The sequence below is a fragment of the Homo sapiens genome, chromosome 13 (genome assembly GCF_000001405.40).
Source record: "Homo sapiens chromosome 13, GRCh38.p14 Primary Assembly".
Taxonomy (NCBI): Eukaryota; Metazoa; Chordata; class Mammalia; order Primates; family Hominidae; genus Homo; species Homo sapiens.
Window position 1 is genome coordinate 87,407,035 of NC_000013.11, and position 19,769 is coordinate 87,426,803.

At 33.1% G+C, this 19,769-nt stretch overlaps 1 long non-coding RNA gene across 1 annotated transcript in view; it reads left to right on the forward strand.

Annotated features, from left to right (window-relative positions):
* Positions 1 to 19,769, forward strand: part of LOC105370302 (uncharacterized) — a 112,367-nt gene that overhangs the window by 73,018 nt on the left and 19,580 nt on the right. The window contains exon 5 of the long non-coding RNA XR_931625.3: positions 16,462 to 16,490. This is a non-coding gene — a long non-coding RNA (uncharacterized LOC105370302). The remainder of the gene's footprint in view (positions 1 to 16,461; positions 16,491 to 19,769) is intronic.

Below are 19,769 nucleotides of genomic sequence, written 5' to 3' on the forward strand. Positions count from 1 at the left end.
CCTAAGTGGCAAATGCTTCATTATAAACAAGGGTCCTTCTAGGTTCTTGGGTGAGACTGAACTTCACTATTTATTGTTCCCAGTTGGTATGATTCTATTGTAGCCAGGCCATATTATAAAAGATGTCTGTATTAGTTTTCTGTTGAATATATAACAAATTACTACAAGCCTGGTGACTGAACACATATTTATTATCTGTCTTAGATTTCTAAAAGTCTGAAATACAAAATTGATCAGCAGAGTTGTGTTCCTTCAAAGATCTCAAGAAAGAGTCTGTTTCCTGGCCTTTTCCAGTGTCTACAGACTACCTGCATTCATTGGCTCATGGCCCATGCCTTAAATTTTCAAAGCCAAAACCAGCACCATGGTATCTTCATCTCTCTCTCTCTTTCTCTCTCTCTGTCTCTCTTTCACACACACACACACACACACACACACACTTACTCAACTGTCCTTCCATTCTCATGCTTCTATCTCTGTCTCTGACTCTCCTGTAATCTTGGTCGTTGCATTAGGCCAACGCAGGTGGTTCAGAATGACCTTCTCATCTCAAAACCCTTAGCTTAATCATTAATCACAATCTGTAATGTCTCTTTTGGGAATGTGAAGTAAAATATTCATAGGTTCTAGGGATACAGATGCAGATATATTTAGGGGGACACTATTCCCTCTAAACAAGAATGTTAAATAAAGATGCTTGACATTATATGGCATAATGAGTAATAACCCAGTTTCTAGACTCAAAGTTCTTGGTTTAAATCCTACTACTGTCATTTAATAGCCATTTTACCTTCTGTTATATATAAACTATCTGGGCCTCAATTTTTATTACATTATCATTTCTTATATTTAGTAAAATAATTTCAAAACCATAGTACAGTACCTGACTCATAGTCAATTATCATTATTATTAACCAAAAACTGAAAAAAATAGCCTGAATTTTAGAATGCTTCATTCATATCACTTACATGAATATCTTGAAAGGGATAAAAAATCCTTCAAGCATCATTTCCCATGAAATCACCACCAATTATTTGGTGAATATAATTTCATAGCTTTTATTTTTAATTTTTTAAAGTAAAATTGTACATGCATATAGCTTAGAGAATCAAATCATTCTTTAAGGTTTATCATAAAAAGCAGCAATCCCCTGGCTTCATCAACCACCTTCATCTTTTTACTCTCCAGAGGCAACCTCTTTCAACTCTTTGAAGCAGTTTCAAAGGAAAACTGTTCCTTTGGCATTTGTTTATGTTTCTATACAACATGCTTATACTGCTCTTTCTTGATTTTTTAGTTTTAGGCTTTCCGTCTCACCATGGAAATGAAGAAAAAGCTGTCTTCGATTTTCTACACTCTTAATACCAACCACACCTACACTTCCTGTTTCCGCTCCTTTTATATGGTTGTATTATAATATTCATTGGATTAATTGTATGTTTTCTCTTAACTTTGTGCTAAATTATATTTTATATATAGGTGATCATGTATTTTAGCATTTACTCAAGCCCAGGTTTGAGAATAAAAGTAAGTATTATTAAAGTTAGTACTAAGAAAAGAGGTAAAAATCATAATTTTTGGTCACTTTAATTAAATTTAAACTGGAGTAATAATAAATAATGTCATTCATTTAAGTAATACTGATTTTCACTGCATACTAATGCATCTTAAGAAAAAAATACACTGTAGATTTATCTTACAATGGCCATATATATAAATAATTTTATTTTTGTCATGATTTCCAACGTAAAATGAATGCAACCTTAATTCAAAATCCTATTCCTTCACCGTATTTTTTATTCCACTTATTGTCATGGAGCTCTTGTCACTTTTTATCTTGTGTATAATTATCTTTGAATTTATTTTTAATTTTAAATTTATTTAAATGTATTAAATTTTGAAGTTATTTTTATATATAAATGTACAGTAGTATCTCCATATCACTATACTATATTGAATAATACATGAAGTCATTGATCTTTTCAAGAAATTCTAAAAGCCTGTTTCAATACAGTATTGAGTATTGTAGAAATAAGTATATTCTGAATCTCAAATGGTTATCAGTTTTTTATTCATATTACTGTAGCCAAATTGAAGATACCAAAAATATCCTAGGAATTCCAAAGCAAAATGCATATTTTTTGCAAACTGTATAGATTACAGTTTTGTGACAACTGTAATCTATACACATGTAGACTTCATCAAATTTTGTAACAAGATATAGAAAATGTCTTAGTCTAAACACAGTACATGTAATTTACATGAAGGAAATGTACCTTTAACAATTTAACACACAGGGAATATAGATGTTAATTATTGAACACCTTCCAAGACAAACATTCCTTAATTATTCTCTTCTTAAAACTTGCATGTCATAGATAAAAACATAGTCAAATTTGAGTATACACATGGAACACAGAATTTGTAAATTGTAATTAAAACATTTTAACAATAAAAATCAATCTAAATATTTTTTCTTGAAAATATATTTGGCTATTACTGGGCTGGATTTTTTAATGGACTTAACAAACTTAAATACAAATATTATACTGAACAGTTTTTGATTAAAACATAACTATTTATATCTCTGACAGGTAGACTCTGAGCTTTCTAAAGGCCAAAATTTAAGAAAGTTTAGTGCTTTAGGACTTTTGTGTCCTTTATGTTCTTCTGCTAAGCAAGCACAATACTTGACTTAGAAAATTTTTGTATGTAATAAACAAATGAATGTTAGCTATCTACAGTTTACTCTACTTAAGAAAATCTTAGGCTATGCTGTTTCTGTGACAATAAACTAAGCCAGAGCTTTGTGATTTGGGCCTACATATCCAGCAAAAATAGAATTTTGAATTGAATCTAAATGCTCTCTTGGAAAGATGTGAGAAATGTAATCTGCTTAGGTGTTGAGATTCAAATCTGCATGTGATAAGGCATTTTAAAAATTTACATATAAGATCCCCAAATAAATCTGCCATTACACTATCATTCCCAATATAGAAAGCCGATGAACAAGCACATTTTTTATATGATATCTTCTATAAATTTAAAAATGGCAGTTACATATCAAGATTTGTTTCCTTCGTCAAGATTATCTAGTAAGCAAATGTGTTGTTTTATTGAGCTGCAAATCAATAAAATAGAGTTAAAGATGATAGATTTAATTAGCATTTAGTCCAACTGTAGATGCTTTATAATAGATGAAATAACTTTTTAATATTTGTATCTTTTATTTATATCCTTCAAAATTTATTTTTATCTTTTGAATTCACATCTTTTATTTAGTTGTTTTTTATTTAAACATGATAGACCTAGTTATTAAAACATCAATTCTATTTTTAAGAAATGTTACTAAACATAGTTTTCAGTTTATAGTATTTTTCTGTCATTTGTCTCTTTGCTTTAATATGTTTATCTACCTCTAAAAAGATTTTCAAAAACCTATATTTTTTCTCCTTCGTTATTTGTTGCCTGCAATCTTACTTGATCAACATCTTTATCTGTACTTTCTTTTACACTAATATTTGCCAATGATAGTTATCTATAACTCAAAATACATCCAGATTCTAAGAATTCTTATCACTTTCGCTGCTGTGTTACTGTTCAAGCCACCATCATCTCTCATCTACACTATTGTGAATGCCTTCTTACTGCTCTTCCTCCTTTTATCCTTGTTCCTCCCACCAATTGTCTACAAAAAAATCAAAGGTAATTGTTTTCAAATATCACAATGAAATACTTGTTCACCCAAAACATCCAATGACTACTCCCCTCACTTAAAAGAGAATCAGAAAGCCAGGTGCAGTAGCTCATGCCTATAATCCCAGCACTTTGGGAGACTGAGGCCGGCAGATCACCTGAGGTCAGGAGTTCAAGACCAGCCTGGCCAACATGGTGAAACATGGTCTCTACTAAAACTATAAAAATTATCTGGGCATGGTGTTGCACGCCTGTAATCTCAGCTACTCAGGAGGCTGAGGCAGGAGAATCACCTGAACCCAGGAGTCGGAGGTTGCAGTGAGCTGAGATTGCACCACTGCACTCCAGCCTGAGCGACAGAGTGAGCCTCCTTCTCAAATTAATTAATTAATTAATTAATTAATTAAATTAAAATAAAAATAAGTAAAAAGAAAAATCAGAAGTCCTTATCGTGACTACAATGGCACAACATGACACAGCTCCACTCTGTTTCTTAGTGTGCTCCTTACCAACCTCGGGTTTCTGTTACTTACCTACTCTCTGCAACTCCTGTTAGCAAACCTAGCAAACAGGATGTTAGCAAACCTAGGCTCTGATCCCCAAATGACTAGCACTTTAAGACCTTTATATAAGAATGAGAACATATGAAATTTAAAGTAGTTTTTCCAATTCTGTGAAGAAAGTCAATGATAGCTTGATGGCATAGCATTGAATCTATAAATTACTTGGGCAGTATCGCCATTTTCACGATGTTGATTCTTTCTATCCATGAGCATGGAATGTTTTTCCATTTGTTCATGTCCTCTCTTATTTCCTTGAGCAGTGGTTTGTAGTTCTTGAAGAAGTCCTTCACATCCCTTGTATGTTGTGTTCCTAGATTTTTATTCTTTTTGTAGCAATTGTGAATGGGAGTTCACTTATGATTTGGCTCTCTGTTTGTCTATTGTTGGTGTATAGAAATGCTTGTGTTTTTTGCACATTGATTTTGTATCCTGAGACTTTGCTGAAGTTGCTTATCAGCTTAAGGAGATTTGGGGCTCAGACAATGGGGCTTTCCCCAATCACATCATCTGCAAACAGGGACTATTTGACCTCCTCTTTTCCTGTTTGAATATCCTTTATTTATTTCTCTTGCCTAACTACCCTGGCCAGAACTTCCAATACTATGTTGAATAGGAGTAGTGAGAGAGGGCATCCCTGTCTTGTCTGGTTTTCAAAGAAAATGCTTCCAGTTTTTGCTCATTCAGTATGATATTGGCTGTGGGTTTGTCATAAATAGCTCTTATTATTTTGAGATGCATTCCATCAATACCAGGTTATTGAGAGTTTTTAGCATGAAGGGCTGTTGAATATATTGAAGGCCTTTTCTGCATCTATTGGGATAATTTTGTGGTTTTTGTCATTGGTTCTGTTTATGTGATGGATTACATTTATTGATTTGCATATGTTGAACCACCCTTGCATCCCAGGGATGAAGCCGACTTGATCATGCTGGATAAGCTTTTTGATGTGCTGTTGGATTTGGTTGGTCAGTATTTTATTGAGGTTCATATGGAACCAAAAGAGAGCCTGTATAGCCAAGACAGTCCTAAGCAAAAAGAATAAAGCTGGAGGCATCATGCTGCCTGACTTCAAACTATACTACAAGACTACAGTAACCAAAACAGCATGGTACTGGTACCAAAACAGATATATAGACCAATGGAACAGAACAGATGCCTAAGAAATAATGCCACACATCTACGACCATCTGATCTCTGACAAATCTGACAAAAACAAGCAATGGGGAAAGGATTCCCTATTTAATAAATGGTGTTGGGAAAACTGGCTAGCCATATGCAGAAAACTGAAACTGGACCCCTTCCTTACACTTGATACAAAAATTAACTCAAGATGAATTAAAGACTTAAACATAAGACCTAAATCCATAAGAACCCTAGAAGAAAACCTAGGCAATACCATTCAGGATATAGACATAGGCAAAAACTTCATGACTAAAACACCAATAGCAATGGCAATAAAAGCCAAAATTGACAAATGGGATCTAATTAAAATAAAGAGCTTCTGCATAGCAAAAGAAACTATCATCAGAGTGAACAGGCAACATACAGAATGGGACAAAATTTTTGCAATCTCTCCATCTGAAAAAGGGCTAATATCGAGAATCTACAAAGAACTTAAACAAATTTACAAGAAAAAAACAAAGAACCCCATCAAAATGTGGGTGAAGGATCTGAACAGGCACTTCTCAAAAGAAGACATTTATGCTGCCAACAAAATTATGAAAAAAAGCTCATCATCACGGGTTATTACAGAAATGCAAATCAAAACCCCAATGAGATACCATCTCACATCAGTTAGAATGGTGATCATTAAAAAGTCAGGAAACAACAGGTGCTGGAGAGGATGTGGAGAAATAGGAACACTTTTACACTGTTGGTGGGAGTGTAAATTAGCTCAACCATTGTGGAAGACAGTGTGGCGATTCCTCAAGGATCTAGAACCAGAAATACCATTTGGCCCAGTAATGCCATTACTGGGTATATACCCAAAGGATTATAAGTCATTCTACTATAAAGACGCATGCACATGCATGTTTATTGCAGCACTAGTCACAATAGCAAAAACTTGGAACCAACCCAAATGCCCATCAATGATAGACTGGATGAAGAAAATGTGGCACACATACACCATGAAATCCTATGCAGCCATAAAAAAGGATGAGTTCATGTCTCTTCAGGGACATGGATGAATCTGGAAACCATCATTCTCAGCAAACTAACACAGGCAGAGAAAACCAAAAACCAAACACCATATGTTCTCACTCATAAGTGGGAGTTGAACAATGAGAACATATGGACACAAGGAGGGGAATATTATACACTGGGGCCTGTCAGGGGGTAGGGCACTAGGAGAGGGATAGCATTAGGAGAAATATCTAATGTACATGAGGGGTTGATGGGTGCAGCAAACCACCATGACATGTGTATATCTAGGTACCAAACCTGCACGTTCTGCACATGTTTCCCAGAACTTAAAGTATAATAATAATAATAAAAGTATGAGCACGTTAGACTCTCCATAAAGTGAGACAAGTGATGCTGGGTTACAAAATCATCTTCACTGTGTAATTTTGTCCACTGGGCTATGACCACACGATTAAGATCTCTGGTGACATGTGTGTAGCCTCCTGGCGGACCCTCCCTTAAGTGGTCCTCCAAACTCTTCACTCTTCTCTTGGCTGAATCAAATAACAAGGAGAATTTATCACACATTCAGAAATATTACATAAGTCAGAAATTGCCTTCTTTGCTTTGATTCACTGAAACTTGGGGATCAATTTGTTGCTATAACCCTGCCTATGCTTTCATTTGTTTTATTTAATTTTGTTTTGCTTATTATTATTTATCATCTCTATATTTTCCTCCTTAATTTGTTAATTTGGTTAAGTTTTTCTGTTAGTAGTGTAATAGTAGGTCCTTATTTTCTAATCTAAGAGTATCTTTTATAAGAAATCATGCTTAGTTCTAGTTTTCATAAGAATTGTTATAAATGATTATTCAAACTTTTTTATCATTTGATATACACTACTTACTACGTATACTTTTATTTACCTATTCATTTATTCTTGGTGTATTCAATTTGCTGCTATTCATTAGGATTATTTTTAATTTTAGTAATTATTATTCACTTGTTTTTTTTTGAGACAGAGCCTTGCTCTGTCACCCAGACAGGAGTGCAGTGGCACCATCTCGGCTCACTGCAAGCTCCGCCTCCCGGGTTCACGCCATTCTCCTGCCTCAGCCTCCCGAGTAGCTGGGACTACAGGCGCCCGCCACCACGCCTGGCTAATTTTTGTATTTTTAGTTGAGATGGGGTTTCACCGTGGTCTCGATCTCCTGACCTCATGATCCGCCCGCCTCGGCCTCCCAAAGTATTGGGATTACAGACGTGAGCCACCGCGCCCGGCCACATTTTTTATAATTGACAAAATTGTATATAATTATTGTGTAAGCCATGATGTTTGAAGTATATACACATTGTAGAATGGTTAAATCTAGCAAAGTAACAAATACAGTAATTCACATAGTTATCTTTATTTGTGTGTGGAAGCATTTAACATCCGCTGTCTTAAGGTTTTCATGAATACAATATATCATCATTAACTGTAGTCACCATGCTGTACAATAGATCTCTTGAATTTATTCATTCTATCTAACTGTAATTTTGTATTTTACCTATTTTCCAAGAAGGCAATGTTTACTTGCTAGGTATTGCTATATAATATTCTACTAATATTTGAAAACAGAATCCATTTTTGTAAGATACATTGTTTCTTCCTCTACTCTTCTTCTCTATTCATCTCTTTTGGAATGATATCCAATTTAAAACGTGGCCTTAAAATACTTGTACTTCTCTATTACTTCCCTCAACTCATCGATAAGATATTGAATTTATTGTTTGCTGCCTCAAAGTCTTAGGTTTTGCTGAGAAAATGTAGTATTTTTAGGTTAGTCTAGACCAGGGTTTTGTTTTGTTTTGTTTTTTTTCCTTTAAAGAGTCAAATAACAAATAAGTTTTGGGGGTGGATTCAGTCTTCGTCCCATACTCACACCTGACATTATAGTGCTAAAGCAGCCATAAACACTGCAGAAATCAGTGGCATGGTTTTGTTCCAATAAAATATTATTTACAAAACAGGCAGTGGGCTGGAGTAGTTTGCTGACTACTTGAGCAAATTAGTAATACTCGATACTATATCTCTTCATATTCAAAAGTCCTAATTCACAATTTAAATAACATATTCCTTGTTGATCACCTTCCACCAAAATTTAATTCTTTCACAATCCCTCTTTTTGTATCCTGTTCTGTAGGTTTCAATTCTGGAATGTTGTTTGGTTTCTGACATAACTAAATTATTTTCCTCAGTAAGGTAAAGATATAAAATATAATTGGATTTCTGAGGGTATGAAAAAATCTCCATTTTTTTACTCAAATTATGGATAGGCATAGTATGATGGATTTGTTATCCTTTTCTTTACGGATTTCCTTGTGTTATTTTCTAGCTGAAATGTCAAATGCTGGTATTATAATTTTTCTTTTGCAAGTTACTTTTTTCTCTATGGTGGTTAGTAATATTTTGTCTTTAACTTTAGTATTTGATAATTTTATCAATACTTTTTTTCTGATCAATTCTGCACGAAACCAAATCAAATTTTTCAACATGGATCAGGTTTTGTCATGAGAAATTATTTTATATGTTTATAAAATAATTTCTTCTTCCTCATTGTATTTATTTATTCCTTTATTTGTAAATATTTATAAAAATTAAATTTATGAAATAATTTCTTCTTCATTGTATTTATTCCTTTATTTGTAAATATTTATAAAAATTATATTTATGAAAATTTCCTCTTCCTCATTGTATTTATTCATTTATTAATTGTATTATTCCTTTATTAATCTGAGATCATGATGGAAAGATTACATAATTAGCAGATATATACTATAGATCTATATTTTGATGTGTATATGTGCTAATTATGTAATCTTTCCATCATAATCTCAGATTCAACAACTTTTCTCCATACTTTAAGATATGTATCCCATTTGATTTTTATAGCCATCAATAGTCCTCAGAAGTGACCATATTATTCTTTGTTTATATATTATCATTATTATTATTCTAAAAATTTTATTACAGATGCTCCTTCACTTACAAGGAGCTTCCATCTGAATAGATTCATGGTAAGTTAAAAATATTGTAATTGAAAAGTGCATTTTCCACCTACAATATTTTCAATTTAGGATGGGTTTATCTGAATGTAACCCCATCATATATCAAGGAGCATAGTGAATGAATATCATTTTTACACTATCATAAAGTCAAAAAAATTGTAAGTCAAACCATGGTAAATTGCAGACTGTCTGTCTTCCTTGAAGGTTTTTAGATTTTCTTATATGTTATTAATACACATTTTTTTTTGTTCAAAGTATCATCACTCTCATGTATGTTTTAATCAGAAGCCCACTGTTTTTTGAATCTTGCCTCTTAAAATTATTATTCTGTGGTTGCTGAGCAACATTAGGCAGGTTATTTTTATTCAATGAAACCTGTTTCTTGCTCCTTTCAGATCTACCTGTCAAACAGAGGTAAGCCTAACTATGAAAAGAGTTTGCAAAACCTTATAGCAGTTTCCTTAAGCACAAAGATACTTTGGGGATAGTGGAAATTTTCATTTTCTTGATTGTGATGATAGTTTCATGAGTGTACATGTATGTCAAAACCTACTGAACTGTACTCTTTAGGTATGTATCATTTATTGTATTATGCCTGAATAAATATTTTTATAATATATAGTTACAGCAATTTTTCTGCAATTAGTATAGAATGAGAGGACTCAGACCTGAGTAGTAAAACATACGTGTGTGTGTTGGGTATACACATACATGTACCTACATACACACTGCTTCTTTATTTCAACGTCTCAACATTTCTAAAGTCCTGGAAGTAATGAGGTATGGTAGAGAAATGACAAAAGTGCTGTTCAATAACAATGAAGTCAGTACCATTAATATTTAGAATATCAACACCTAAAAGGGCCATAGTAAGCAACAGGGTGATAGATGGATGAAATAAGGGTGTATTTGTGTGTGTGTGTTTCTCTCTGTGTGTGTGTCTATGTGTGTGGGTCTGTGTGTATGTGAGAGTTAGTGTGATGGATTAGTGTTTAGCTTAATTTATGTGATGCTAACTGAAGCATTTGAGAAGCCCTTTCTGATGAGATTCTGCCTGATGATGAGAGGACTTGTTAACTCAGATCATTTGTTCTGGTATCAACATGACCAAGAACCTCTAGCCCCATTCTCAGCACGGTTGTACTCTTCCTGCTTTACCTTTATAATATTTCTCCCCACCTCCTAGTCATATTACTTAAGGTCTTATAATTTTCTTTGTAATGCTTAAGTAACTGAGTTTAATTTCTGCCTTTTTCTTTAGGTTGCATTTGTGTCCCTTAGCTGAGTTGTGTTTTTAACTCACATACTCCAATGTCTTGAACATACTAGTAGACAACTACTCCCATCTTTAAAATAGGAATGATGATACCTACCTTATTAGTCCTCAAAGGATGTTGTATAAAACAGGAATAAAATTATAAGGAAAGGCCATTGTAAAACTCTAAGACAAAATTTAAATGCTTCTAGTAATTTATATAGCTATTACAAAGCGTTGATGTAATATGCATGAGACCAGATTATAAAAGAAAAGACTACTATTTGCATATTGTTAGTACTAATTTATTGACATTAAATATACTTTGCTCAAAGGAATTGACACTTCTAAATGGAATCTCTTTAACAACTGAAGATATTAAATGCATTATTAGGGGAATGACATATAATACATGAAAATTGTATTTTAAGGGTATGTCATGAAGAAAACAATACAAATATATTTTGAAGGGTCACAAATGCTGTTTAAAATCTTGCTTATGCTTTTTGAATATTTCAAAGTCAGCAGAACAGAAAATGTATTTTTAAATTACATTCATTTTCCAGAAACAGGTATTACCTATCATCTTAACTCTCTCTTGCCTGTCAAGACTTGTCGCACTGCTTTTTGACAAGCCAGGCAAAGAGATTTGTCCATAGCTATCAATTTTTATTCCATAAGTATTCACAAAGAAAAAATGTATTTTTCTAAGTGGTCATAGGTCTAATCCCAAATCAAATTACCATTTCCTGCACTACCTACAAAATTTTATGGTTAAAAAAAGGACATGATTTCACCCCCAAGAAAAAAAAATCATGTATCTCTCTGAGTCTTCTTAGTTGAAAATTTAACATTCTATAAGATTTTGTTATCCTATTTACAGGAAAAAAAACTTTTCATTTTAAGATGATAAATTATATAAGAAAAGACAGTGCTGGTAACTTTGCAAGAGATCAGAGAAAGAAAGCTTGTATTTATATTTCTATATTCTGACATAGAGAATGTGGTTATAATCTAGTATTTTCTTTCACATAAGAGAGATAGCTGATCATATTAGTCTTCAACTTTTTAAAAAATTTTGCCTCATATTTTTAAATGTGCCAAAATATTTACTAGATTTCAAAATAAATAAATAAAATATGCTTTCAGTTACTTATATATGAGTGAAGATTAGGATTAAATGGAGGAAAGTTTGTGTGAAACAGACTGTTACAGGACTACAAAGAAAAACGTTTTAAAAAATTTCTACTATGTAAACTCCTTTTTCATTTTACCCAAAGTATGTTCCATTGATCCCTATGTTTTGGGGAAAATATATCTGTATCCATCCACTTATCTCTGACCTATCTCTGCTTCTATGTCTCTATCTGTGGATGAATCCATCTATCTATGAGAGACAGAGCATTTCAATGGTTTTTACTTTTTTTTAAGAAAGGGTCTTGCTCTATTGTCCAGGGTGGAGTGCAGGAGCACATTCATGGCTCATTGCAGCTTCAGCCTCCTGGAATGAGGTGATCCTCACATCTTAACCTCCCAGGTAGCTGGGATTTCAGGTACGTGTCACAAGACCCTGATATATATACACATACGTATATACACACACATATATACGTGTATATATACACACATATATACATGTATACATGTATATATATACATATGTGTGTGTGTGTGTGTGTGTGTGTGTGTGTATATATATATATATATATATATAATTTATTTATTTTTGTAGAGGTGGGGTTTTTCCATGTTGCCCAGACTGGTCTTAAGTGATCTGCCAGCCTCAGCCTCCCAAAGTTCTATGATTACAGGCATGTCTTATTGTGTCTAGGCCAATTTTGTTTTTATTTTTTTTTCTGTACAGAATTCTTTTTTGTTTGTTTCAAGTAACACTTACAGTAGTTATTTAACATACTTTGGGTAACATCACTCTATATTTAATATTTTAAAACTTTTAAACTATGATCTGGCATTTTGATTTTAGTTTATTGGTATGCATCAGATTTTTTCTCCAATTTCTTCCAATGTTGAGAAAATTTAGACTATAAATCCTGAAGAATGGTTTATTAGTCTGTTCTCAATGCTGCTAATAAAAACATAACCAGGACTGGATAATTTATAAAGGAAAGAGGTTTATTTAAATCACAATTCCACAATGGCTGGGGAGGCCTCACAATCCTGGTGGAAAGCGAAGGGGAAGCAAGGCATGCCTTACATGGCAGCAGGCAAAAGAGAGCTTGTATAGGGGAACTCCCATTTATAAAACTATCAGACCTCGTGAGACTTATTCACTACCATGAGAACAGTATAGGGGAAACTGCCCCCATGATTCAATTAAAACTGTCCCCCACCCTTGACACGTGGGGATTATTACAATTCAAGCTGAGATTTGAGTGGACACACAGCCTAACTATATCAAATGGAATAGTTTGAAATAAGTGGTATGATAAGCAAATTAAAAAAAAAAAAACTCCAGCCGATGATTAGAGATGGAAATAATGTGAACTATATATAAATTGTAGTCATGGATTAGCTTGCCAGAAGGCTGGACATTTTTTATATATTATTTTCTATTCATACTTTTGAATTATCTCTCAAATTAATATATGACTATGCATATATGTGTAAGGGTATATGTGTGTGTGTATGCAGACATGGCATATATGTGGGTATATACATATTTATATTGGCTACAAAGAAGCCTATTATACATATTTAAAAGATTTTGAATACAGCCCTTTTAAGCATTTCGTTTTGAACATCTTGAAGCATATCAAAATTCATAATGGGATAATTGCAGAGGAGCCTCCAGAACAAGGTGTATTGGGATGGGAAAGACTCCTAAATATATCCTCACACTATTTTGGCATGTGTATTATAATGCAGATATCCTGACTATGTAGATATGTTGCCTTCACTCTAAAACTGTCTATATGTTATCTGTCTCAAAAGTTCCTTATTGATGAACTATGAGAAAGGAAAATGTGAATAATAAAGTTTATTATACCAAGGTTTTGTGAAGATGCCGCATGCTTAGGATCTCCATAGGCAAGAGTTTGGTGAGGCAAGACTGTCTTATACAAAAGTTTTTCCCTATCCTAGAACAAAAATTAAAAATGAAACAAGCAAATTCTCATGTATTGAAAATTGCCTGTGAATCTGGTACTTGAGGTACCTTGTGTGGGTCACATTGAATAGTCATAGTCATCCCTTAATATTCATGGAAGAATAGTTCAAGGAGCTTCACAAATGTCAAAATTTGTGGATGCTCAAGTTCCTGATATAAAATGATGTAATATTTGCATGTAATATAGGCACAACCTTCCAAATAGTATAAATAATCTCTAGATTACTTATAATACCTAATACAATGTAAGTGCCACATACATAGTTGTTATACTGTATTGTTTAGGGAATAATGACAAGAGGAAAAAGTCCGTACATATTCAGTACAGATGGGATTTTTTAATGAATACTTTTCTATCCAACATTGATTGAATCCATTGATGTGGAACCCATGAATATGGAAGAGCAACCCATGGATATGAAGGACTAAGCACATAAATAAATTGCACACTAAATTAAGTCTCACTTTACAAGATTTTGGGGTCTTCTTTAGCATTAGTGGCTATGAAATAAATTCTTATGAGATGCTCATAATATTGTATCTCTTGAAGAACTTTACTTATATTTTCAACTTCTTTTTTTTTTTTTGCTAATGTGTACCCTAGGTTGAGAGTTATTAAACTTTTATTTAACAACAACAAAACAAAATAAAGGTACTTATTGGCAGATTTTTGAAAGACAGGTTAAAGCACAAGGATAGCAATATAATTGGGAATTTGGTGTACCCTATCATTTGCTTTCCTTTTTAAAATCTTCCTTGGCATTCTCAGTTTTTTTGTTTTGTTTATTTAAAAAGAATATTGGTGATTTTTATACCTAATATTATGGGACTTGTACATCACATTGCACGGATTTCTTATGCCTAACATCACAGCCTATCCCTGACTGAATTAGTAAATGCATTTTCCATATGAATTTACAACTTATGTAGTAATTATCACATTTGCCAATGTTTGTCCTTGTTTACACATGAATGTTAGCTAAAACACTTTCGATTATTGCCAACATTAACCCATTAAAGATGTATTTGATTCTCAACAGTCAAAATAGAATTTGAGTTTCAAGGCATTTTCGAAATCTTCTAATCCACTGATATTCTATATCACCATATCCTAAAGCTTGTGTATTTTAGACAGATAAGCTCCAATTTAGGTAGCCATTGGGAAAACTTTTTTTGTGTGTTTCTATGGCTAAAAAAATGGGAATAAGCCTTTGTTTTCTTCTGATTTTCTTATTTCACTGTGGAGAATCTTGAAGACCCCAGAACTCAGTAAATCTTTGTCCATTGTCTCATTCATGGTCACTTGGTAGCAGACATCTTGCCTCAATGTTTGGGCACAAAAATAGTAAAATAAAAATTGTTAATATTCTCACATAGAGCTAATTGAATATTGACATATTGCATAGCACTCAGCAAAGAGATACATTTATTTTTTAAAGAAATGGGTATTCTATTTCCTTTTTTAATGTATGAAACAAAACCATTGATGTGCATTATTGTTGCTAACAGCCAAAGTATATGTTTATTGACTCATTTTTTCACTTCACTATATGAAATTAAATTGAAAATTTACAGCATTCAAGTGTACTTTATGTGCAGAGCAATACCCAGGGATCAGTGTTTACAAATTAAGAGATGGTCCTTAAATATTTGTACAATGTAAAATGCCCGTTGGCTGTAAAATGATGTTTTGAAAATAAAGTATAAGATCAAGACCTGAACCAGTAGTAAGAATTGTGTAATTGTAACTATGATTTCCTTGTAATTTTGCTAACTAATTTTCTAATTTTGCTAACTACATACTTCATTGACTTTATACATCCACATGACATCATTTTTCTTAAAATTCTGAGGCATTGTGTGTGTGTGCACATGCATGCAGCATAATTGCCACAAAAGAAGCTACCAAGTATCCAAGCATATTTAAAAGATTTTGTATAAAGCACTTTTAAACATAAATCAAAATATGTGGCTGTCATGACTGGTTATTACAACACAAATCATGTGTTGGCCTATAGCTGTTGAAATCCCTAGCTGCTGAATGTCCTAGAAATTAAATTATATTTTTCTTTTTCTGCACTCTATGGAATTTGAGGCCGATCTCTGAGGTTAAATCACTTTTTTGACCTCAAAGATCTTTCAAGAAGTATTCATAAGAAGCTGTCTCTGGAGCCTTCCACTTTAAGGCAACAAATGATATGAACTGTGTAGCTAGTAAAAAAAAAAAAAAAACAAGTAAAGGTTTAGCTAATAGAATCTAATGTCATGTGAATGAGATTTTCTTTTGCCACACAGTTGTTTTTCATTTTCATTATTTATAGCAATTATTATACCAAAATCACATAATAATAATATTCCATAACATATTAATACCTTCAAAAGATGTATGATTTTACTTAAGGTAATAAGCATAGTTATTAGGGGAAACATCTCTCTCCCACAAATGATTTTTATGAAAAGAGATTTTCTTTAAATACAAGTGAGTTTGAGTTGCAACTTTCACTTCCTTAGAAAAAGATGATCTGAGTTCTCTGGTAAGTCAGCAATAGTATTTACATTTCGTAATTGGTCAGAATTATTTAATAATTTATCAAGATTTCTGGATGTAGGGTAAATTTGTTTCTTTATCTTTTGTTTTTCTAGATTGCTGTGAGAAGGAGCCATGTAAGTAAGTGAGTATTTTCTACAATTAATTGTTTTAGTTGAAATTTACAAACACTAGACTGAGAATTTAGTGAATATATTTTTTTCTCATATTAGATGATTTTTACCTTAAAATCAATTTTATCAGTAATGTAGGTGATATTTGGATTCTCTTCATTTTTCTTTCTTACTTATTAATTGAAGTATATTTGAGGAAATGGTTTACTTCCTTTATTATACTTTAAGTTCTGGGATACATGCACAGAACGTGCAGGTTTGTTACATAGATATACACTTGACATGGTGGTTTACTGCACCCATCAACCCATCATCTACGTTAGGTATTTCTCCTAATGCTATCCCTCCCCTAATCCCCCACCCTCCAACAGGCCCCAATGTGTGATGTTCTCCACCGTGTCTGTGTGTTCTCATTGTTCAAACTCCCACTTATGAGTGAGAACACGTGGTGTTTGGTTTTCTATGCCTGTGTTAGTTTGCTGAGAATGATGGTTTCCAGCTTCATCCATGTCCCTGCAAAGGACATGAGCTCATCATTTTTTATGGCTGCATAGTATTCCATGGTGTATACGTGCCACATTTTCTTTATCCAGTGTATCATTGATGGGCATTTGGGTTGGTTCCAAATCTTTGCTATTGTGAATAGCACTGCAATAAACATATGTGTGCTTGTGTCTTTATAGAATGATTGATAATCCTTTAGGCATATACCTGTAATGGGATTGCTGGGTCAAGTGGTATTTCTGGTTCTAGATCCTTGAGGAATCGCCACACTGTCTTCTACAATGGTTGAACTAATTTACACTCCCACAAACAGTGTAAAAGCGTTCCTATTTCATCACATCCTCTCCAGCATCTGTTGTTTCCTGACTTTTTAATGATCACCATTCTAAGTGGCATGAGATGGTATCCCATTGTGGTTCTGATTTGCATTTCTCTAATGACCAGTGATGATGACCTGTTTTACATACATTTTTTGGCCACATAAATGTTTTCTTCTGAGAAGTTTCTGTTCATATGCTTTGCCCACTTTTTGATGGGGTTGTTTTTTTCTTGTAAATTTAAGTGCCTTATAGATTCTGGATATTAGCCCTTTGTCAGATGGACAGATTGCAAAAATTTTGTCCCATTCTGTATGTTGCCTATTCACACTGATGATAGTTTCTTTTGCTGTGCAGAAGCTCTTTAGTTTAATTAGATCCCATTTGTCAATTTTGGCTTTTGTTGTCATTGCTTTTGGCATTGTAATCATGAAATCTTTGCCCATGCCTATGTCCTGAATGAGATTGCCTAGGTTTTCTTCTGAGGTTTTTATGGTTTTAGGTCTTAGATTTAAGTCTTTAATCTGTCTTGAGTTAGTTTTTGTATAACGTGTAAGGAAGGGGTCCAGTTTCAGTTTTCTGCATATGGCTAGCCACTTTTCCCAACACCATTTATCAAATAGGGAATCCTTTCTCCATTGCTTCTTTCTGTCAAGATTGTCAAAGGTCAGATGGTTGTAGATGTGTGACTTTATTTCTGAGGCCTCTAGTCTATTCCATTTACTTCTTATTCACTGGGAATTACTTCCTATTCAATCGCTGCACTTGCCATAATAACACAATGTTTACTTAATTATCCATAAATTGTTTAAAATTTTTTAATTACACAGATCTATTTCCATTTCCCTTTAAGAAAATGGGGTAAAGGGTTTATATTAACTTAGCTCATATTTCTTTACTTTTTAACCAAAGTATAGTAAAAGATGAACATTATTGTTAATTTAAATCTTACACATCTTTCCTTTTTTAAAAAAATACAAAATGGATGTCCTTAATGTACATTTCTATAACAACAAAAATCATGGTAAGGATTAAGGAAAATCTGAGTCATACCTAACATACCATAAAAAATGTAACGTTGGTAAAAGAGACAATGAATAAACTAGAGAAAGCTGTTTGGGATTTAAATGTAATTCAAATTTATAAATGTAATAGAGTATATAATAAGTGTATGCGAACAAATGTGCATTATAATGTTAGAGTAAAAAAATGCTATTATCAAGAATCAGCTGAGAAAGTTGAAAAGCTTCACAAATTCTGTGTATTAACTTAAAGGGAATTCACATGGAATAGCATTGTACTTTTACCAAATGAAGTAAGTCAATTTCCTGAAGATAGTTAGGTGAAATGACTGATAGTGGTCAAAAAAATTTATCTGGTGAGTTATGTATTATTTATTTATTTAGAGACAGAGTCTCACTATGTCTCCCAGGCTGGAGTGTAGTGGTATGATCTGGGCTCACTGCAGCCTCTGCCTCCTGGGTTCAAACAATTCTCCTGCCTCAGCCTCCTGAGTAGCTGGGATTAAAGGCATGGGCTACCACGCCCGGCTAATTTTTGCATTTTTAGTATTTTTAGTTTTTGCATTTTAAGTTTTGTATTTCACCATATTGGCCAGGTTGGTCTTGAACTCCCAACCTCAAGTGATCCGCCCCGCCTCAGCCTCCCAAAGTGCTGTGATTACAGGAACCAGCCACTGTGCTTTGCCAAATTATGTATTTTTAAATTGGTATGAGTAAATCAAAAACTGGATTTGTGTGTATGTTTATGTCTGTCTTTGTGTGTAGTACACTGTAAAATGAGACTATAAAATCTGGATATTTAAAATTAAAAATTAAGGATTCAAATAAAAAGGACAAGCTATATAGTAAGAATAATTTTATAATTCTGATTTTGACTGTCATAAAGCATTACGCTAACAATATTACTACAACTGCTACTTCTACTAAGTAAACCAAGAGATATTAAAATGGGCCTGTTTCTTGATGGTGACATGGTATTTTGTTATCCACCAACACTCAATTGGGGTTATACATTACTTTGTCTATCTGGCCTTCAAAATTATTTATGAACCTAATAATTTTATCTTGGTTCATAATATGTTACTAGAATATAGAATTATATTACTATATTCTCTATTATATTTAATTATATATTCTAATTATATATACTATATTCTACGTATTATATTCTATATTGCTAGAATACAGAATATATTAATAGAATAGAGAAACATCTTAGCATTTCCATCCTATCACAATGATGCTCACTCCCTGAAAGACCTCCTGTGCCCACGAGGCCCCGGTGCATTTTGAAGTTTTTGTTGTGATAATCAATGGTCTGTTTTTGAGGCTGGTGTCAATGTTTAGTTCTTGGGCTGTTATGCAACTCTCAGTTTGGGTTGCTTATGTGGAAAACACAGAAATTTTGGTTTTGGAGATTACAACTCAACAATGCTGTATAATTTAT